This window comes from Homo sapiens, chromosome 7 (assembly GCF_000001405.40).
Source record: "Homo sapiens chromosome 7, GRCh38.p14 Primary Assembly".
NCBI classification, from domain to species: domain Eukaryota; kingdom Metazoa; phylum Chordata; class Mammalia; order Primates; family Hominidae; genus Homo; species Homo sapiens.
The window spans coordinates 11,087,226-11,111,256 of record NC_000007.14 but is presented as its reverse complement, the minus strand read 5'-3'; the positions used below and the strand labels follow the sequence as shown (position 1 = coordinate 11,111,256).

General features: G+C 33.7%; 1 protein-coding gene across 4 annotated transcripts in view; it reads right to left on the bottom strand.

Moving 5' to 3' along the window:
- Window positions 1–24,031, bottom strand: part of PHF14 (PHD finger protein 14) — a 195,747-nt gene that overhangs the window by 58,362 nt on the left and 113,354 nt on the right. For 2 of the 4 annotated variants that reach the window (NR_033435.2, NM_014660.4), the window contains one exon: window positions 936–8,771. The exons of the other annotated variants lie outside the window; for them this stretch is intronic. Coding sequence is in view for 1 of the 2 variants with exons in the window: in NM_014660.4 (NP_055475.2) it covers window positions 8,759–8,771 (13 nt within the window). In the remaining variant the exon portion in view is untranslated. Of the gene's footprint in view, window positions 1–935; window positions 8,772–24,031 lie in introns of those variants that run through there. 4 annotated transcript variants of the gene reach the window in all.

The window sequence follows — 24,031 nt, the reverse complement described above, 5'->3', positions numbered from 1 at the left end:
TCAACTTCAACACTGTTAATTTTATCCTTGGCTCACAAGATCATTAAATTAATGATGATGATAAAGGCAAACTAAACCTGAAATAAATGTTTTAGCAAAAACAAAATACAACAGCAATAAAATCAACAAACAAAACAAATATTTAGAACACTGACAGTAGAAATATTAAGAGCATATGAATGAACGTATATGTATAATCATGTGTTCAAAACAACCACAACAATTTCAATTGTGAACTTAAAGAATTAATCATTTGCCCATTAAATCATTTTAAAGTATTTAATAAGATACATATATAATTCCAGGATATGAATTCAATAAAATACATTTTGATTATTTAAAAAATTTTAAAACTCAGAAATTCTACTAGGCTACACTAGGTTGCAATCAATGCTATACAATTTGGACCCGATTTCTCTCTTTCTTCAAGTTAAAGTAGATTGTAAGTGAACTTTCTAACATTTATAGCATGCTAACACAATCTACAACAAATAAAAATAACCTTTACATGTTAAAAAACAGAACATTTAAATATACAAAGAGGTAAGACACTACCCCAATAATTTAGTTTTATTCTCACAAATTACCTGTCACTTTCTTCAGACCGTTTGGTTTTACAAAGTACTTCCTAGTACATTTAAAAACTTATGTTTTGATAGTGTCTTTGCCACCTATGATGTGCAAAATCTAAGAAAACTATCATACCTATTCTTCGTTTCAGACAATCTCATCCTGCTGACAATGAAGAAAAATCTGTATTATTTCAGTGCTTTGTAAAAAGAATTTTGCATCAGTTGGAATAACAAGACCAAAATTTAACAACAAATAACAAAGAGTATACATCTTATAGAAGGGATTACATTCCTCATTTCATAGTTTAAAAAAAATTAAACAATAATACTTTCTCAACCAATCTGTCAGATTTTCTTTATTGTTTATCTTTCACTGATTTAAAACTTCAAATGTCAAGAAATCTGCAATTAAGAAACCAAGGGGAAAATTTATAGAACATATATTACTTGATTAAAGTTAAAAACTACTATTCAATAACCTTTTAGGAAAAAAGGGGGAAGAAGCTCTTCTTACATAAACAACACACAAAGAAAAACAATTGACTTTAAGAAACCATCATAATAAAAGGGACTGTAAATCTACATTTTTAGTAGAAATTTCATATTATGATACAAAAGTCCAATCTTCCAAAAACTCATTTGGGGAATCAAGAGTTCCAGAAAAGTTAAGCAACTTAATTAAGTTACTCAGATATAAAGAAGTTTAAAACACAAATGAATGTCCTAAGTTTATGCATTTCTTCCTCTACAACTTTCTCCTTATGAATAAAATAAGCTTATGTACTTTTCCAAAAACCTTGTAGATTCAAGACTTTAAAAAATGCTTACTATGACAGTTCTAGCTACAGGAATAGATAAAATCAAATAGGACCAATAGGACCAACAGTACTTTATTTACTATGACAATATCACACATCTAAAAATATATTTAAAAGCAGTTAAAATGTTCAAATACCTGTTGTTCTGGCATTAAGAAAGAATAATAAATAATATAAGCTAAGTTCAAATGTGACATAAAGAGACTGGCAAGCCCACATAATTTTATGCTCTTTCTCAGTACAACATATTTACCTTTCATTAGCCAAAATTTCGATTAAACCTATGGATATAGAAACCTTCAAAGTATAAGTATTTCTGAGTTTATGAGAAGGCTGAGATTTCTAAATAACTGAGAGCATACTCCTTCATACATAAAAACTGGAGTTTTAATCATCTTTGATGCGAAATTTAAAAATCACATTGCTCGTTTCATCAAATAAACATATTAAATATAATTTATATTTGTCATCTCAGGTCATCAGTAAGAATAACATATGCTGCTACAGGTCTAGCAGTGTGTCAGCCTTTTGTCCTTGGAATGAGGACCAGGAGTCAGCTGTTCTATTTGAATTCTTGTATTCAATTTTTGTAGATTTTCAGGGTCCTCACTTGCCTGAAAACTATCAGCCACTGCTTCCTGATATTTTCGGTGTGTTTGCTTAAGCATAAATTCCCCAACAACAATCTGTTATGGATTCAGAAACCAGACCACTAAAACTTACTGAGGCTATGTAAACTGACAGTAAAAATACATGAAAATGATAATTGCTACTGAGTTAAGTAAATGGGCTCAATTTTGTTTGTTAACTATAGTCTTTTCTCCTTAACTTTAGGTTTTTGGGTAGTGCGCCAGAGTTCAGATTGCTAATAATCAAAGTTCTTGATGAAGTATTAACATTTTCCTAGTTCACATCAATTTACTACCTAATTACTGCATATTTACTTTATAACTCTGTGTCATAATAATTTTCAAATTATGATTTCTAGTGTATAACTTGAGGCAACTATCATGATGCATGTGTATCATAATTCATTATTTATCACCTTAATGTACATAAATAATTCTTGTTGATATAGCTATGAAATTCCAGCTAATAAACCAAGAACAAGTTTGCTACACTAACACAGTTCCAATCTGTTGCTGATTTCAACTACTCGTACAATTAAATTATCTTTCAGCTCAAGAACTAATGAAAAGAGGAAGAGAAAGATTTTATATGCTAGCTTATCAGAAGATAACAAATACATGCCATTTAAAAATGACCTAATCCTTGCTGATTGATTCCTTCATTAGTGATACCTTTCAGAATTACTTAGTCGACATGTGGAACTCTCATGTATTTGTGATGCATTCCAAAGGAAAAAGAATTTGCTTGTCAGAATTAGGGGTGATAGGCAAGTTCTCTGAGGTTCTAGCTCACTCAAAAGTAAATAAAAGCTTCAGCTTCAAGACTAAGTAGCAAAAAGTAGTAGTACCCTTAGGAACTGCCAAAATCCAAAAAACAGAAGGGGAAAAAAAGAAAAGAATCCAATCTTGAAGTCAATAGTTTTGGTGATAAACAAATATACAAATATAAGATCTTTGTAAAGATGTCCCAAAATTATTTCAATGTGAAAAAAATCTGTTGTTTCTATCTTAGAATATTGAATTGAAAAAATCCATAGCTCTATGTGCTAATCACAGAAACATCTTACTGGACACAAGTGAACTCTAGCAGAACTTGCAAGAATTAATAAACTGTGGACAAATATAAGAGATACCATTAAGAACCCAAGAAATCAAAGAACAATGTGGATGGCCAAAATAGTGGCTTATTAATTTTACACACAAATACCACTTTGTAATCTTCATCAAATCCTGTCACCCAACAAACCCTGAGCTATGTTGCAAATTTAGACCATTTAAAAAAACTCGTAAGGGACTATAATCATCTGCTACCTAAAAGCTGCAATGGAGTTAAAGTAGTTATTGACCTATTTATGGTTTCTACCTTTATTTCTTACATAAACTTGGAAACACATGCAGCACATAATATAGGACAAAATTTATCAAAATAAATAGTGAATAAAATGTTTTAAAAAACTTTTTCAGAAGCAGTCATTGACCCACAAAAGTATAGGGATATAACACAATATACTTTATTAAATAACACAAATGTCTATGTAATAAAAACAGATTATTATACGAATAGCACATTATTAAATAGGAAGGCAATGTCTTAAAATATTAAAAAAGAATACAAAACTAACCTGTAAAGAAACACTAAGATTTTTTAATAAAATAAAAACTGGATGCTTAAAGAAGTATCATTTAAGCCTCTAATAAACACTGTACACATTAACACTATAGAGCATAAAGGAATCCCAATTATAAGATAAAAGCAAACCTAATTAGATTCTTACTAAATACAACTTCCTAGCTATCAGATTAATAACAGATATAGATGTAAATAACAAAGTAGCTTAATATATGGTCTTTTACCCATTAACAAAATGTAGTGACCAAATAAACACAGTCTATATGTATGTAAAATACTTACTTAGTATATGATTAAGAATAGCACCCTAAACAAAGAAGAGGGAAAAAAATGATTTACCTTCATATGTGCTATGATCCATATAACAAGCAATTAGTCAGGTGTTTACCTGACTATTGAGAATATGCAAACAAGTAAAAAGAAGCAGCTGATTTATTTCATCGAATGCCTAAGAGGCCAAAAGTCAGTATTCCAAAGGGTTTAACATCTCTAATTTCATTAGAGGAGTAAACTACAACTACTTTTTAAAACCTAACTGAAACAATTAAGTGCACCTCCTATGCAAATAATTTATAGCCATTTGTAAGCTAAACTTTAGAAAGAAGCAAAATCCATAACATAGACTTGAACAAGGATGTACATTTTTATGATCAAGTTGATTGTGATAATCACATTATCTTTTATGCCAATGGAACATTTTACTTGTAGCCCCTATAAGTTTATATAAAGCAAAACAAAAACTGGACTCTGAAAATATAGACTATTATGTCTGTCCACTTAAAAAAAACTAAATATCCAGAGAACTGATGGGTTGGATTTTCCAACTTTTTCATTTCTGTGTAAAAATTCCATCACAAGAATGTTCAAAAAAATTAGTCTTGAATACTGTCATTACTTAAATAAAAATCTCACTAGCAGCTCAAACATCTACGCAAATCTATTAACAGGTAGCGATGAGTTCTTTCATTGAATAGTGGCCAATTATTTTGATTAAACATCTTAACAGATGGAGAAAATACAAATTGTGGTCAATGAGTTAAATCACTTTACAAATAATACAAGCTTGCACAAAATTCTGCATTCTACCAATACGGAATAACATTTAGTATCAATAAGTACAATATTTTATTCCTTGTAATTTACAACAATTTTAGTGCAAATTACCTACATGAGCAGTTTCTATACAAAATAATTAGAAAATGGTTTTTAATCATTTCACAAATATAAGACTAACGTGGAGGGCTTGAACCTATTTCATTAATACCACTACAGACTTCTGTATCAGCCAATAATGAATGAATGGGTAGTAAGAAAGACAAAAATATTCTTTACACATAAAAATTAATTTTAAAAAATTAGAAAAATATCCAAATCCAAATCTGTATTTAATAGTCACTTAAAGAGTGGGATCAATTCAGTTAGCTATATCTGTGGCAGCCAGATTACAAGATTAAATGTGAAACAAGAAAATGAAAGATGAGACAAAACAATTCATATAAAAATACACAATAAGGTCAAGCAACTCTTCACAGCATGAGAGAAGAATTAGACATTTCCATACCTGAAACATGTCTGCTTTGTTCTTTAATAAACTGATTTCCATCTGCTCATGCCCTTGGAAATTTTTCAGCAGTACAACCTGCTGAGCTCAAGCTCCATGTAACTTTGTATTTCCCTGTTCATAATTAACTAATTATGCTCTAATCAATAGTGTAGATCCTGATTTTACAATGTAAATCAGATAAATGAGATAATTGCTGGGTGTCAATCTCATTTTATTTACAAAGCCCAGCATGTGCATCCAATTACATTACATCTTATGTACCTGAACAGCAGTGAATCTTATCGGCAGGCCTACAGAAAGCCTTAAAGTGAGCACTATGGGAAAGAGGCTTCCACTTTTATAGAGAAATATTTGCAAAGCATGCCTATCTTAGAAATCACAATCCTTAATTTTATGTAAACTTACAAAGTGCTGATTCAGACAGGTAGAAAAAATGATTCTGCCTTCGTATGTCAGGAAACTCCAAGTTGAGTCTCTTAAACAAGTTTCAATTGCCATTTTTAAATTTTTTTAAAAATTTAATGATGTAAATATTCTGCTCTGCTGGAGAGTCCTTCTGAATTCCTTGAATAAATTTTGGTGAAATAGTCATGAAATATTCTCATATTGAGAATCAAGTAAAATAGTGGTGAGTTTTATGAAATAAGTAACTTTGTTTAAAACCAGTGGTTTTCATTAATAGGATGTGAATACAGGGAAATAGAATGGAGTGTAAATATTTTATTATTTATTGGTCAGCAGTCTATTTTTAACATCATAAATATAAAATCAGATGAACACTTAAGCAACAACGAATGACAATGATCTATAAACAATGCATAAATATAATTTCTAAAGTTAAGATGGATAAAAGCTAAGGCTAAATTTTGTTTTCATGTTAAAACATAACCCTAATTTCAAGTCTTTTTATAACAAAAGGATGAGTGAATTGTGAACACAGGCTATGTTTATTGATTTCTTTCTGTATCTAAAATAGTGCTGTTTCCATAGTCAGTGTAAAACAAACATTTAACTAAATTTTATAAAATTAAAAAAAATTGTATGTGTTGCAGATGAAATTACTAATTCTTTTATCTAGAGGAAATCTAAGGGACCTTTTAAGGAGATGTTAAAAGCACATTCCTTTATCAATCAATGTTAAGCACAACACAACGATGTTTTAAAAAAAATACTACCTATGAATGGTTCTTAATGTGGTGTTCCAGGCCAGTAGCATCAGCATCAGCTGGGAACTTGTTAGAAATGCAAATTTTCTACTAAATCAGAAACTCCAGGGTGAAGGGGGAGGGAGTAAAGTGGGCAGAGGGCAGATCCAGGAGAGGAATAGGGTAGTCACCTGTGTTTTTACAAATCCTTCCTGTGATTCCAATGCACAACGTTTGAGAACCACTACTTGCTATTATGTCATTCTTCCTGTATTTCAGAGACATTTCATCTCCTTCCTGATATTTTCATGTTTCTTCCTTTCCCTACTGTGTGATAAACAACTATCATTTACCTGATGTGCCATTTTTTTCTTATGTAGGTCTGTGAAATATGAATCATTTAGTACATATTTTCTTAAGCACACATCAATTTTCTCCTTATAGTAGTTGGACCGATTATGGACACGGAATAATTTTATACTGTGGATATGAGAGCATTTAAGAGATTATTAGGAGAAAGTATTCTATTCTAGTTACTTCAAGTTTTCTTACTTCAACTATACTTTTTGCAGGACCTATATCTTATGAATTTTGCAGTCTATATGTATAACATGTGACAAAGATTCTTAGGACTAGCACCAAATGTGGAATAGAATATCCACCACCACTGAAAATGCAAGATGGAAAATGATGATAATATAGTATTATAATTGGAATCAAAGTGAAAAGGATTTTGATTAACAGTGATACCAAAACAAGGCCTAAGAGTTTCTCAAAAAACCTAAAATAAAGCAACTGCGAGTAATTTCTCACTAAATATTAAAAGAGGGCCATGGTCTAATGGATTAGTATATTCCACTTAGAAAATGGCAATCTGTCATTTTGCTTAAAAGCAGCCAGAGTTCAGCAACAGTAATAATTACCAACATTTCCTTAAGCTAATATAGTGACAACTAGTCCTATCTTATTCTTTTAAACAAAAGTCTACTAGTTTTGCTAAAGATTATGAATATTTTTCCTCCAATGTTATGAGATCTTTCAATAAGCTAATAATCTGTTTATATGTAATTTCATACACATTTTACTTTTATCAAACATCTCATCCAATCATAGCGTTCCTCACTGTAACTAGAGATCACTAGATTACAGCAGCTTTACAATTACAATTGCTTTTGATTATCTATAACATTACCTACTCTATTCCTAAAGTTTAAACTATTTTCCATTGTCACTATACCCGAAAAGATGTCCAAAACCACATTTATTAATCAGAAAATTCCAAATTACATGTTGACAATTTACATGTATAAGTGCAATTCAATTTCAGCAAAGAGTCTCTTCTAAATCAGTTCAAGATTGAGTGATGAAATATTCAACATACTTCTGCCGTTGACTTAAAACTGGATCATTAAAGCTTGAAGATCAAATTTTAATTCTGTATACCTCTGGAAAGATACAGATGTTGATGAAGATCTTTCTTTCAGCTGGTAGGTTGTATAGTCAATAATCTTTGTACTTCCCTCCTTATTTCCTAAGTTCATATTTAAGGTTGAGAAAAATAAAATTATACTGAACACAGAAAGCTTATATTAAAACAATAAGGACTGAATATATTTGGGTATTACTAAAAATATCTAGAGATCAACACAGATATATCTTTATTCATGAGCTTAAAATCTGAAGTAAAAATTTCATGCTAATAATATTAATGCTTTCACACTAGGACTAATAAGTCAAAAATAGAATGTCATATGCTTCACAAGTCTTTCACTTTTGCTGAATATTATAAATAGAAATAACATTTAATATGAGTCTATAGTTGTTTTACAATGCAGTACTTCATATATGAATCTATGTATGAAGTTGAAGGAAACAGAATAGCAGACTAATGGAATGCATTGTCTTTCTTGTTTGTTATTTGTATTGTTCAATCACAACAGGGAGTAGCATATTGTATTTATTAAGTCCCACAGGCTTCAGTAACTCTTCAGTAAGTCCAAACACTGTGTATCAACATTTGCCAAAGAAGCAAGAGGGAAAGACATTACTTAATACGACAATTCTGACAAGACATGTATCCAGTATTTTTCAACAATGCACACATCAAATATTTCTGATAAGTGCAAAAAAAGCAAAAAGAAGAAAAATAGGAAAAAAAATTCCACACAGGCAAATCTACTGCCTTGTTAGTCCAAGTAACAAACCAATCAATTATATTCTATCCAAACCTGACAAGCAAAAGGCAACTTTTTGCAGTGACAAGCTTATAGAAAGGACAATATAGCTGTTCTCCTTTACTTTATGTACTCTATCGAGAGTTTAATCCACATTTTTAAAATCACACTTATAAAAGAGGTTTCCGGGATTGCCTCCGAGGATGAGCTGTGGCAGAGTTGGGTCTCATGAAGGGTATCTACACAGTAAAGTGATAAGAAAAGAACATTAACATTTAAAGATCATAGCAGCTCTGCACTATGTCTTATGAAACATACTAACAAACCACAGTAGATTCAAATAACATATGATCTGGTCCAAAGAGATAGATACTCTAAACCTAAATGCCATGATCTTGTGTAGGTTCCTATTGGTTAAAATTGAACTATTTTATCATTTGAAACATTGAGTTGCCTCCTCTTGTATTATTATTATTACTTTTGGTTGTCAAAATAAACCTATCTTTCTAAAGCAAAAAAGAAAATAATATTAAAATGATGAAGGGCTTGTATTTATAAAAGGAAATATTTAATCAATAAATATTTTGAAAAATTTCAATTTGCTATTTTTTCATCAAATATGGCAATTTAACATCGCTTGAGAAAACATAAAACTGTGCTGAAAACAAGCACATCTGATCAGTGTGTTACAGTGCTGGTTATACTCAAATACAGAGACTCGGGGAAGAAATTTTCAAATGATTCTTATCCTGTGCCTAAGCTGACTTTCTTTTAAAAAGACTATATTAGAAATATGTTTGGTTACAATTATTTGTTACCTTTTTGTCTTTATTTTCAGTGGAGAAATTTTAGTGATTAGAAGTAAAATTTTTTGACTGGGGTAAACATAAAAAGTTATCATTTCCTTCAAACATTTAGATCTGTGAAGATGAGGTAAAAATGCCAAGTAGTCACACATCGCAGAAAAAGTTCACTTTTTTATATTAACAATTAAGAGATGTGTTTAATGCTTCTAGGTTCCATTGAGAAAAAGAAAGTGAAAAGTGGCACACAGACAAATAAAGCGTTACTGAGGAGAGCTATCATGCCAAACTGAATAACCTCCAAAGAAAGTAAAAACAAAACTGTAAACACCCCCACAAAAGAATACAATGTGAAACATAATTTTCAAAGACATGTTGTATTTATCAACATATAAGAAATAATAGAGGTCAATTTGCTTGTTAAATAGTAAGATCACACGTGCTAACTTTTTTCAGTGCTTCAGTCTCTAAGTGAAGAGCTTTTGAGCACATTCTGAATCTGATACTCTGAGAACTACTTTGTCTGTAGTTTACTACTGGAAAAGTATAATGCAAGAGGAAGCAACCAAATCATTTATAATAGAAATACAATTAACTCTTAATTACATGCACAAATAATAGAGATGAGAAGACAACTGAAAATATGTATTTGTATTTCACTTTGAAATGCATCCGAATATAGACACATTAGATATGGAAATCTGCTTTAACCCCCAATTAAATTCAAGTTGATAAGTTTGATAAAAACTAAAAAGCTATTGCTAATATCCCTACATCCTAAATTTCACTAAAATAAGCTAGAATAAGCAATGTGACTTCTCTTGGCTCCTATCTTCCCAGGACAAAAAACTGTGCAGTATTTTAAATCAAAGATCAAGTTTGGGCTTTGTATTTATTTCATATGCAACTAGTAAACAAATTAATGTAGAAAAAATTGTTTTCAAAGGGCTTCACTGATGCACATACCAGTAACTATCAATATATTCTGTATCTTATATAGTTAGAATTGCCTGTTAAGAGGAAGTATCTACTTTTTTTGTCCCAACAAAGTCAAATATGCTAAAGCAGTGTAGTGCGGTGAGGCAGTATGCCTAATTAGTGCATGAACTGTATGGTTAAGACTGCCTAGACTCAAATTATAATTCCACCATTTTCCAGTTGTACAATCTTGGGCAAGTAATTCTTCTCATTTTCCTCACCCATAAAATAGTAATGAAATCAGTATCTATCTCAAGCAGTTGTTATGAGGATTAAATGAGATCAAATGTGGAAGGCACTAGCACACTGACTGGCATATAAGCCCTCAATAAATCTTGGCAACTAATGTGAAGGTCAGTAGATTTTATCATACACTATGGTAGTATTTTTCTGGAAGGGAAGAAATTATATTCTAATACATAACTTAATTTACATAATATCATTTAAATATATAACTGGAATAATTTCTATTTCACACTGCTTAGTGTCTATGTACCCCAGTTACCTCTCTTCTAAAATGGAGATATATATACCTCATAGGACTGTTGTAAGAACTGAATGTGATAGTAGAGTCAAAGACCAGAAAACATAGTCTGGGATACAGTAAGCATCTAACATTATCATTACTATAATTCCCAGGCCAAAATGACTTAAAAATAACATTTTGCTGGGGAAATCAATCAAATTTCAAAATTTGTGTCCAGTCCTATTTTCAAATTCAGTTCACCTCGTTTCATTATTATGTCTATTTCAAATGTCTATTTCATATGTCCAAAGAAATATAAAATCAATACAAATGAAAACCTTGATACAGGAGTAACAGATGAAACAGAATGCTTAATTTAAAAATGAAAGAAAAATCAAAAACAATATAGTTGGCTTTTCAACTAGAAGTTGGATCATACTTGTTTTGTATGACTCCAAGTGTTTAAATTTTTAGTAAAGACATATCATCAGCTCATTTAGAGAAATTGTCAATAGTCAATTGTCAATAGTTCCTGCCAAGAGGGAGGAAGGGGCTCACAGCTCTATCCTTGACAAAGCTCATTCCCTGCTGCTTAGTAGTGATGCTAGGCAGATAAATCAAGTGTCAGATGAATGGTGAGATTACAGACTTTAGGATCTTTTTTGAAACTGTATATTTGTTTTGAAATCTCTCAGTTATAAAAGTTACATAACTTAAGAAAAAATGAAGTTAATGTCTTCATTTTAAAGATAAGACAATGATCTTAGAGGTAACTTGATTCAAGGTCATTCATCTAGTCAACAGCAGAACTGTGGTAAGAGTCTCAGTCTTTCCAAATGATTAAGTATATAACATATAATCCTTCCCTTGTATAATTTAACAATATTAACACCCTGCAATGGAGGATAAATTAAAACTGCAAAAACAAATCTTACAGAAATATAAAAGTGTAAAATGAGAACTATTTCACTGCTGTAGGTGCTTGAAATTATGTTTATTACTCTAAAATTGTGTACCCCAGAAATACCACACTTCACTATGTAATATATACCATGTTCAGGCTTCTGTTTTCTTTAAATACAAATTACCTGACTATACTGCATCTATTAAAAATGTGTTAAAAATTTTAAAATCCAAACATTTATAACATAAACAAAAAATATTTATGAATAATACAAAGACACTTAAAGGTCTGATGTTATAATACAGATTTTAAGTCAAAGAATGTGATACAATAAATACTAAATGTGTTAGACAGGTTAGCCATTCCATGTGTCTAACAAGATCAGCAAATCAACTTAATTATAGAAAAAATATACCAAGTAAACATTTTTTAATTTAAATTTCATCAGAATACCACCTTAATAAGAAAAATTCAGTGGCAGCTGGGCTACACTCATTATCCAAATATGAATATTTTTTAAATTAAACCTCTCTTCCCTGATTTTTACTAATAGAAAAGCATTTTTGAAATGAACTTTTAAAAATTATAGCACAAAATTTACTTAATTTTCTAATTCCTTCCTTAGAATCTAATCTCTTCGTGACATACAATGAAGCATCATTTTAAGTCTAAAGACATTTATCTTAAGTCACTGATCACTGCTTTTTATAAAACCTGGTCTAAGGCAAAAAGGAAACATTCTTAGTGGCAAGGATGGCCAAGTAACTTTTATGAACAAGAATACAAAGCATTTAATTTTAAATCTTACACTGTTCTGTGTGTAAGGCCTCTGTTACCCTAAATTGTTCAGTAAATGTCCAAGACAGCCTTGGAATAATGGTATTTAGAGAAAGAAGTAAAGAACAGCCGGGTGCAGTGGGGATTAAAGAAGGAAGACAACATATGCCCTGCTCTGGATATTAGTGAGGACAATGGTGCACTTTCCACAAGAACTGGAGTTCAAGTTCTGGCCATTTTATCAGGTGAGGAAACGAGCCAGAAGGTTGGGGGAAGTGAGACATAGTAGAGCTGTAGAACCCAATTATACACTAGCAATAAAAATGAGGAGAGGCAAGGCAGACAGAGAGGGATCCAAGGGAGAGATAATCAGAAGTGAGGAACAGAGAAAGGCGGCAAGAGAAAACAGCAAAGAAGCTAAGGTGAACAGAATAACATGGCAGAAAACAGAGGCTAGACACTGCGAAAGGTCTCAAGGAAGCCATAGGAATGGGAAAGGAAAAGAATGGATCAAGAAATGTTTTAATAGAAAACTGTTCCCAAAATATTCTGATATTTTCAGCTTTCAAATTATATACATGGCTAAAGTTTTTTAAATGTTTTGAACAGAATCATCAAAATGTCTGAATAGAAGTAAATACATTGAGATAGTGTAAGATTATAGGTGATTTAAAATTACTTTTTATATTTTTGTATATAAATTTTTATAATTAACAAAAGATTTTAAAAGAAAAATATTAATTTTTCTACTCACAGTCCTTTAACTTTTTAAAAAAGACTTTTTTAAAGGAATATGATAGATTTACAGAAAAATCAGGTAATATATAGCTTCAAATACACTCCCTCCTATCTACACACACACATACACACACCCCTTCCTTTAAATTTAAATGTTAAAGTCTTCATTTTCCCACCATGGGCTGTTTGACAGCTCAGAGCTAGAGAAAAGATGAAGGAGAAGATAGAATAGAGGAAGGGACAAACAAGATTTGGAAGAGTGTGCACTTTATTGATTCTTATGTAATACAATGATATTAAACAAGATGCTGAGTTAGATAAATGGGTATCAACAATGAACTTTGAGAATGTGAAGGGAAGGCAAACTTTCAGATGAGGACTGAACTAGCCTGAACTCTGCCTCTAGCATTAACTGTGGTAAGGGAAAGTATTCAAACAATAGCTGCATAACAACATGGTGGGGATACTGCTGATGAAGTTCAAAAGTCAGGTAAATTTTTGAAGAGCTCAATATCTCAAATTCCTCCTACCCTTGAATCCTAATTCACCAAGAAATTAAATTGTGATTTCAAATGATAAAGGCCTACTACTACGCCTAATGGTGATCCCTAGTCATAATTTAGAAAACTGAGGAGACTCTGATATCAATACCTATGATAGATTAGTCACCTTAAATCTATCAACATTAGCTTTTATTGATAAAATATTATCTATTTTAGGTGTCATAATAATTCTCCATTGTGGCAATATGAATAAAATACGTTAAAAAGTTCTAGTCCTGGCTGGGCACGGTGGCTCGCGCCTGTAATCCCAGCACTTCGGGAGGCTGAGGCAGGCGGATCACCTGAGATCGGGAGTTCGAGACCAGCCGGACCAACATGGTGAAACCCCATCTCTACTACAAATATAAAATTAGCCGGGCATGGTGGTGCATGCCTGTAATCCCAGCTACTTGGGAGGCTGAGGCACGAGAATCACCTGAACCTGGGAGGCAGAGGTTGCAGTGAGCCGAGATCGTGCCATTGCACTCCAGCCGGGGCAACAAGAGCAAAACTCCGTCTCAAAAAAAAAAAAAAAAAAAAAAAGTTCTAGTCTACTATTGTTGGGGCAAAATACTATCAATGAAGTAAACAGGTACTAAGATTAAATGTACTGAATTGGCTGAAATCATTTGAAGATGAGTTTTTTTTTCCAGTATATAGTGATAAGTCAAAATTCCAGAAAAACACCAACAGAAATTGGTAAACTCAAGAAACAACTTTACTTCCTATGTAGTTCCTTATTAATCACCATGACTGTCCTGTGGGAAGATTATCTTGAGTTCTTTTTGAATGGCTATAAAAACTCGATATATCCAAACAGTTCTTAAAGGTCTACTTTTCAAATCTGCTTTATCTTTTTCTTTTTCTTTTCACATCTGCTTTATAATTGGCAACAACCAAATAGAGCTTTTAATAGTGTTAAAAGGCTGCTGGGTTCTGTCCCAGGTTAAAGCAACATACGATATGAAATACCCGTAAATGAACTGGAAAATGGCATCCAGTTCCCTTTCTCCTGTAAGTGGAACTGTCAGGTCTGTATTAGCATTCAAAAACTTTACGATAAGAACATCCTAAAGTAAAAATATATTTGATGCTAGTTACTGATGAGGAATAATTGTGGAGGATGATCTTCTTTACAAAATTCCCTTTCTCCTATAAGTGAAATTGTCAGGTCTGTATGAGCATTCAAAAACTTTAGGATAAGAATATCCTACTGTGAAAATTTTTTTGATGATAGTTACTGATAAAGAGTAATTATGCAGGATGATCTTCTTTACAAAATACATGGATGGCCCTAAATGGTTTTAATCCCACTTGAAGTTTACATGCAAATATCCATGCATGCATATACTCAGACACCGAAAAAGAATAAAAGAACCAAAATGAACTTTGCATGACTGGGAAAACCATGTGATTAAGGAAGACCTCTTTATTCCTTATTTAAAATAAACCTTTAAAAGTTAGCATTCTGACAAAGACACAAATCTCTTGGGATTCTCAGTGGACTAAACCTCACAGCACCTTGAAATAGAATTACTAGTTATGAATTCAGAGTATAGCCCCAAAGCTGACCTTCTATATACAGGTAGAGATATATCCCCTGACTAGAGAACAACTAGAAAAAGATCAGTCTCCAATTTCAATGGTGATGAGAGTAGGGTAAAAAAAAAAATCTACAGAATCCAGTTGAGGTTTTATCTCATACTCTAGCTGAGATGTCCGTGATGATGCTTGATACTTACATCATGCAGGGATTATCATTTTGTAGGTGATTATAGGAGCTTCTCATTTGAAACACAGAAAATAGAAAATTATTTGACTTTTTTTCACTTCTCCCAATTTAGTAGATAATGAATACAATTTAAAATCCACTGAAAAAACATTTATTCTCTACATTTAATGGATGCCTGAGAGTATTAAGAATTGATTCTCCCAGGAAACCCAGGTTGAGAAAACCTGATCTTATTTCCATTTACTTCTAGGGATACAGGATTAAACGAAATGCCCTTGACTCTCAAAAAAATTGGGAAATAGTTCAGCAAAAAGTTCACAGAGGAAATTGAGTTAATTACAGAATAAAGACCCATCATATCCTCAGAGCAAATTATTTTTTGAGAAGCAGCACAGCCTCATGCTTAAAAGTACAGATTCTGGAGAAGTAGTTCCTGGACTAAAATCCCAGCTCTGTCAGTATCAGCCTGACACCTTGAGAAAATGACTTAATCTCCACTTGCCTCAGTTTTCTCACTTATAAATGTAAATAAAAACAGTAACCACCTTATAGAGTTTAAGGATTAAATAAGTGTATAAAATAATTAAAATAATGCTTGGCATATGGTTGTGGTAAGTGCTTACTTACCTTCACTATGAGTTCAACTCAACCACTCTTACTATCACTACAATTTGTTCTAGTTTATTACTACTGCTATTACTATAAAGCTGAAGGTAGTGATTACTGGCAGTTGACTTGTGTTCCCTCAGGCTCAGTAAAGTTTCTGAAGTTTCTTTGAACTGCCTCTGGCTAGAATGGAAAAACAATAACAACAACAACAACTGGAAATAACACTCCTTCTATCCTAGCAAGAAAAAAAAAGATAAACTACAAAATTATAACTTTTCAAGCCATGAGAGAGCTGATGTCAGAGGGCAACCAAGTGGCCTGAAATACAAGAAAGATAGACCCCATAAAAGAAGGATGGGATCCAAGCTCTGGATCACCTGTGGCAGAGCATGAGAGGAAGAGCTGCTCAACACTACATGAGTAAGAATTCAGTTATAAATTTTAAAGGTTTGCTAAAGGTGAAATGTTGGCTAATATCAGAGTACAGAAGCCTTGGGAGCCACAGCCCCAGGGACGGTTACCTTCATTCACAAACTTTTTTCCAGGAACCCTGTGGTAGGCTGAATAACAATACAAAAGAGTCCATGTTCTAATGCCCTGAATCTGTGAATATGTTATCTTGTATGGTAAAAGGGATTTTGCAAATATGATTAAGAATTTTGAGAAGAGGGGCCTGATATAATCACAGGAAAGAGCTCTTGTAAGAGAGAAGTAGGAGGAGTCAGAATCAGAGAGATAAATAGATGTGACTATAGCTGCAAGAAGTTGGGGGTCATGAACCAAGGAGTGCAGAACAACTCTAGTGCTAGAAAAGGCAAGAAAATGGGTTCTACCCCCAAACACTCTAGAAGAAACCAGCCTTGCTGAACACCTTGACCAAATGAAACTGGTTTTGGACTTATGTCTTCCAAAATTATGAAAAAATTTTATATTGTTTTAAGCTACCAAATTTGTAGTAATTTGTTCTAACAGCCAGAGAAAACTAACAGACACCTCCACCAGGTACTCAAGAAAAAGATTCAGACAATTTGGGCCATTAGAAAGACCATTCACTGGTTGGCAGTGTAGACCTGGAGAAGGGGAGCGGCCACCACAGTGGGAAAGACCCAAAGTCTCACCCAGACCCTTCTCCTTTAAGGAATGAAAGCCATAATGTCATTAAAAGAAAGGCTGTAAACCCTGCTGCCACACAGGGAACAGAGTAATCTCACTGTGAAGAGAAAAAAACATAAGAGGAAAAAAAAATCCTCTACTCCTACAGGAGTGACAGGAAACATTTCTGGGCCCAGTATACTACCCTTGTACTTTTAAAGGTCTCCTACCCCTGAGAGTCAGAAGGAAACTCCCTCACAAGATGTGCCAAAGACACAAGCCAGAATAAAGCTGCCATAGGAAAAAGGGCAGAGAACAATGAAAAAGGCCTACACTCAAGAACCAAGCTTGTGATTCTTTGGAGGCTGAAGGCTGAGTTTGAATGAGGAAAATTAAGAACTCCTTTGGCTAATACCACCAGACCAGCAAGCACTGAGTAATATGTGACAGTCTACTGCTAAGTAAGAGGAAAGACAGTGCAATGGGGCTTCTTCAGTAGCACAGGCATACAGAGAAAGGTGAAATTTAACAGGGGAGTACAAATGACGAAAAGCACTCTGGCATTACAACCTCAACCAGAAACACAGGAAATAGTAAAGAAATCCAAAGAAATCTGAAGCCTTGTGGTACACTGAGGTAAGCAGAGCAACAAGAAAATATAAGCCCAGCTCAACTCCAGATTAAACTGACTCAACTCCCCCATACTAACAGCCTTGAAAAAGAACAGGTGTGCCCTTTTCAGGCGTAAGTATTCTACTGTTCAACTCATGATGTCCAACATTCAATCAAAAGTTATGAGGCACATAAAATGAAAAAGAAAATCCACTGTCAAGAAACAAAGCAATCAGCAGAACAAACTCTGGGATGACGGAGATATTAAAGATGCAATTAAACCAGAAATCATTAGCAGAAATATATATGGAAAATCCTCCGAATATTTGGAAATAAAATACACTTCTAAATAACCCATGAGTTAAAGAGAAAGTCCTAAGGGAAATTAGAAGTTTAGAATCTAAAGCCTGAAAGCTAGTTTTGCTTGGCAGGACTGTATCACACTTTCTGACTATAGTGAAAACAGATCACTGTCTCAGGGAGACAACAGACAAAGTGCTATTTCAGAGCAATCTAGAACGTTGCCATGCCAATCTGATTCAAGGGTCACTATTAGGGGGAAAAAAACACCCTTTAACTGGTGTGTTACTTTACAAAAAGAGCTTTTAATAATTCTGAGTTTATCAGCACCTGGCTTCAACATTTTATAATACCATTTTGGCCAAGACAACTGTATCTCCTCCCTAAAAGCCCTAAGAGTCAATGATCAGGTTCAGCGAGTAAAGAATGGAGCTCTTGGTCTCATGACATCCTCACATTAGAACAAAAAAAAAAGAGACTTCAAAAAGGCAATTCACTGGGTTTAGATGAGTGATATGTGGGCATATGCAAAAAAGGCATATGCCCTTAAACTCTTAAACTTCTTAAACTTAAACTCTGAGGTACTATTGCTAAATTGTTCACCTACTGATTGGAATCTTCAAGAGTGAGATCCAGGCCTGTTTTTGCTTATTTTTCTGTAATTCCTTCTATAGGTGATATTTTTGTATCTCTAGCCAATTGAGAACCACTATCTTAGGACTTTAGCATAAGGGCTTTATGCATAAGGCAGTGATTGCCATAGTTTAGTCTCCAGACCAGTAATATCTGTATCACTTGGGAACCTGTTAGAAATACAAATTCTTGGTCACCACTTCAGAATTTTAAAACAGAAACCCTTTTAACAAGCCTTTCAGGTGCTTCAAATGCACCCTAATGTTTAAGGACCACTGTCTTAAAGTAGAGCAAATTTAGCTGGGATGAAGGTAACCACAAAGAAAAAGGAATAGAAGCAAATACAAAACAGATAAAGGGGGTAAAAGACAAATTACAAATATTCCACAACTTTAAAGTCAATCAGCTGACATACAACTAAGCAGAGATAAGTATTATTTATACACAGAGGTATTTCAGTCAGCAAAACAAAGCTTAAAAATGGCAGAGTATTAAAATCTCATCTTGAGGCTCTGCTACATGGTAATTAAATTTCTCTGGAGTTAGCCTGTGACTCAACTAAACCAAGGACACCTACCTAATTCTTTCAGGTGTTCCATTCTTACAGAGCATGATTTCCTGCTGTACCTTCAATATCCACTGAAAGACGCAGTCATTTACTTAAAGCAAAGGTCGGAAAATTAGAATTGAATACTTAAGGGGTAAAGAATAAGTGTTTAACAGTTATCAAATTTATTTCCAGAGTTCTAATCCTCTTTATATTCACTTTTATTTTATTTTTGAGAAAGGGTCTCGCTCCGTCACCCAGGCTGGAGTGCAGTGGCATGATCTCAGCTCACTGCAACCTCTGCCTCCCGGGTTCAGGTGATTCTTCCACCTCAGCCTCCGGAGTAGCTGGAACTACAGGCATGCACCACCACCACACTCGGCTAATTCTTGTATTTTTAGTAGAGACGGGTTTCACCATTTTGCCCAGGCTGGTCTTGAACTCCTGGGCTCAACTGATCTGCCTACCTTGGCCGCCCAAAGTGCTGGGGTTACAGGCGTGAGCAACGGCAAGCAGCTCCTCTTTATATTTATAATCCCATAATTTTAAATGCTTTCTGAAAATGTCTAATTCAGTAGACCTTTAAAAAAAACCCTCTATTCACCTATTATATTTTTCTCCAAAAAATAAATATAGCCAACTCATCTTTTTTCTGTTTCTACTCTCACCATTCTCTCCCATTATTCAGCTTAAAGTCATCCAGTTTGCTTTAAACGCTTCCCTTTCTTCCTTGCCTTTCCATTTTTCATTAATTATCTGCTACAACCCTAGTATGATGTTATGTTTCCGAGATCTTTCTAATCCTTTGCATTTCTACTTCCATCAGTCTAGGTTCACAGCCCTCAAACTGGTCTTCCTCCAGCTGCCCATGTGTTCATCAGGTATGTCACCACAATATCAACCTTTTACAATCCTCTCCTTTGTATCATCCCTTGTCTTCAATAAATCTCCATTGGACCCCTTAACATCATTAGCTTGCACTCAAGGCCCCAATCTACCTATTCTCTTAAACCTACATCACACATGACTCATATGGTCCCACTTTGTCTTTATTTGTGTCTGTTTATTCCCTTGAATGACTGCTACCTCCTGACCCAATCTCCTAAAACCTACTCATACTTCAAGATTCAATTCACCTGTCACCTTGGTTTATATGAAGACTTCTTTATCCTTTTAGGAATGATCCCATTATCCTATGAATTCTTCTGTCTCTTATAAACCCTCTACATAAAAATCTAATGTATAAATAAGTGAATGCCTTTCAGTATCTTTAATATGAAATAAATTCAAAAGTAAATCTGGTGAGAAGAAACAAACACAGGAATCTTATTTTTAAAGGGAAAAACAAGATTCCACAATTTCTTTACAGTTACAAGCTTTGGAAAAAGTCAAATCTTCAGTCAACGTGCTCAATGCTCTACATGAAACTCAACTTTCTTTTAAAAAAAGATCTACATTTACAGACCATGTCACAACAAGGTCCTTGATATAATCAGGCAATTTTGCAGTTCTTTAATAATTGACATAAATGAGTAACCTGAAAAGGAAAATATGGGTCTGGAAGATTTCAGTCACTTATAAGGAAAGTTATTGACTGATATAATTTCACTTGCTTGTGACTGAATCCCATTGATTTAGTCCTTTGTAGGCCTGTCTTCCTTGTGTAGCTATCTTTGTCAACCTGATTCACTGGGCAATTACAGGGAGTGCCTACCAGTTTCATTCAAAGCAGAACTTCTCCTCCTCTTGCTACGATTCATAGAGAATATACTTAAAGAATTACTTTCATGTACTTTGACCAATCACTTCTCACAGAGCTCAACTGGTTGCCTATTTATGAATTAAATCACACTTGAGGCTTCATGCATAATCTTAAGTATAAAAAAATGACACACGTACACACATAAAGAAGGCATGAACAGGCCAAGTGAGGTGGCTCACGCCTGTAATCCCAGCACTTTGGGAGGCTAAGGCGGGCGAATCACCTGAGGTCAGGAGTTCGAGACCAGCCTGACCAACATGGAGAAACCCCGTCTTTACTAAAAATACAAAATTAGCCGGTCGTGACGGCACATGCCTGTAATCCCAGTTTACTCGGGAGGCTGAGGCAGGAGAATCGCTTGAAGCCAGGAGGTGGAGTTTGTGGTGAGCCAAGATCACGCCAATGCACTCCAGCCTGGGCAACAAGAGTGAAACTCCGTCTCAAAAAAAAAAAAAAAAAAAAAAAAAAGAATGCATGAACAATTCTACACTAAAGTCACATCATAAAGTCACACTTTTAATAGTATATTCATGAGGCAATAATCAACCATTCTAACTTTCTCCTCTTCTACTCATAATACTTTGCTCAAACTTGCCTGAGTATTTGAAGAATATAGACATATGTTAAGTATCTCATTAAAAAATATTTCCAGAGTTCTGAATTTTACTTATTACACCTTTTTTGTCCTTTTTTTCCTTTTTGTGGAGAATGGAGTCTCACTTTATTGCCCAGGCAGGTCTTGAACTCCTGGGCTCAAGCCATCCTCCCACCTCTGCCTCCCTAGGTGCTGGGATTACAGGTATGAGCCACCATGCCCAGCTGAATTTCACCTTTTAGAGAAACCACGGTGTGTTCAAATACGATCCAAGCTTTAAAAGATATACATATATAAAAGTCAATGAATTGTTTGTGCCTCAATGAACATATCCTTACACCTTATTTAGTATACTGCATAACTAACTGAAATTACATACGCAAACAGCTGATAACTTTAATGTTGTTTTGAGGAAGAGATTTGATGTTTATTTCATTTGAATATGAGTTGCCCTACTCAATGGTTGCTCCTGATAAAAGGTTTGTCTTAGGTTTTTATTTGCTGCGGTTAACTGATCAGGGCTACGGTTTTTTTTTTTTATATCTAATTAATCTTTGTGTCTGTCTGTGCTCAAAATGAGGCTCTACTTAAATGTTACATTCATGAGATTAATGTCCTTAAAATGGTGTTGAAGATTTTACTTTACTCAGACTCCTACCATTCTAAAATAATACCATGCTCATTTTTTGTTCCCTTCTAATCTTTAGCCACTTATATGTAACAATTTAGTAGCATATACTTATGACATAAAACAGGTTTCCTCATTCCTATGTAAATATCTTATAATCTATAAATCTATAGGAGATACATAATTTTTTAATACTGATTTGTTATAGTTTATCACTCCCCTCCTATACAGTGTTTTCAGTTGTTTTAATTTGGGGAGTTATATATTTACGGTGGGAATAATTTTCCTACTATAACTATAGCTATAAATGTCTTTTTATATTAGCATTTCTTTCTTTGACTATTTCCTTATGATAAATTCCCAGGAGGGTTATTATGATTAAAAAAAATTTCATGACTAACAAAACCAAAACAGTAAGAAAATGAAATTCTTCATTAAAATGAAAAAGCAGGATTACAAATGAAATACATTTATAAAAGACATTTAAAAATGGATGAAAACAAAAATACTCTGTTATTTTCATTAGTTATTAATGCATAAAAATTTGACAATTTCTCATGTTGGGAAATAGGACTGTGTGTGTGTGTGCGTGTGTGTGTGTGTTTGTGTGTATGTGAACAACACACATTACCTTCTGAAGTTAATACAGTCTGCCCTCCATATCTGCAGGTTCTGCATCAATGGATTCAACCAACCATGGATGGAAAATATTTGGGAAAAATAAACCCAATAAAAAATAGCAATACAACAATAAAAAAAATATGGTATAACAACTATTTACATAGCATTTACATTGTATTAGGTATTATAATAAGTATCTAGAGATAACTGAAAGCATACAGGAACATATGCATAGGTTATATGCAAACATGATGGCATTTTACATAAGGGACTTGAGCATCTTCAGATTTTGATATCCGAGAGCGGTCCTGGAATCAATGCCCCACGGATATGGAGGGATGACTGTAATAATGATAACTCTGCAAAGTTATATTTTATACTGAATTAAACAAAGTGGACTATTCTATAAATTAGAACTTATAAAATTATGTTTTATAAATAATTGCCCTGGGTAACTTTTAATTGTTATGTTAGTTTCAAGTTATACACTTTAAAAATCTTTTTGCCCCCATTCGACTTCTTAAAATAATCCTAATGTTCCTAAATTATTTATTTCTTATTGCATATTTCAAAATGTTTATCCAATGCCAGAAAAGAGTGACAGAGTCTCATACATGTGTCCATATGTATCACACACACACCACACACACAGATGAAGCATGGGCCAAATGAAAACACACAGAGATTATTAAGTGAGAAGACCACTGGGAGTCAAATATAGTTGTGGTTATAATCCACAATATAATTAGCAATAGTCAGTAAAAGGAATAATTGCGTGAGTAAAGATTCCTTAGAAGTCAATCATTGGAGCAAAGCCAAAGATTATGGCCCAATATCATAGTACCTATATCTAAAACAACAACAAAAAAACCAGGTCAAGAAAGAAGAACAGTGCTGGCCAGGCGCAGTGGCTCATGCCTGTAACCCCAGCACTTTGGGAGGCCGAGGCAGGTGGATCACAAGGTCAGGAGTTCGAGACCAGTATGGCCAACATGGTGATACCCCGTCTCTACTAAAAATATAAAAATTAGCTGGGCATGGTGGTGTGCGCCTGTAGTCCCAGCTACTCGGGAGGCTGGGGCAGAAAAATCGCTTGAACCCAGGAGGCAGAGGTTGCAGTGAGCCAAGATCGTGCCATTGCACTCCAGCCTGGATGACAG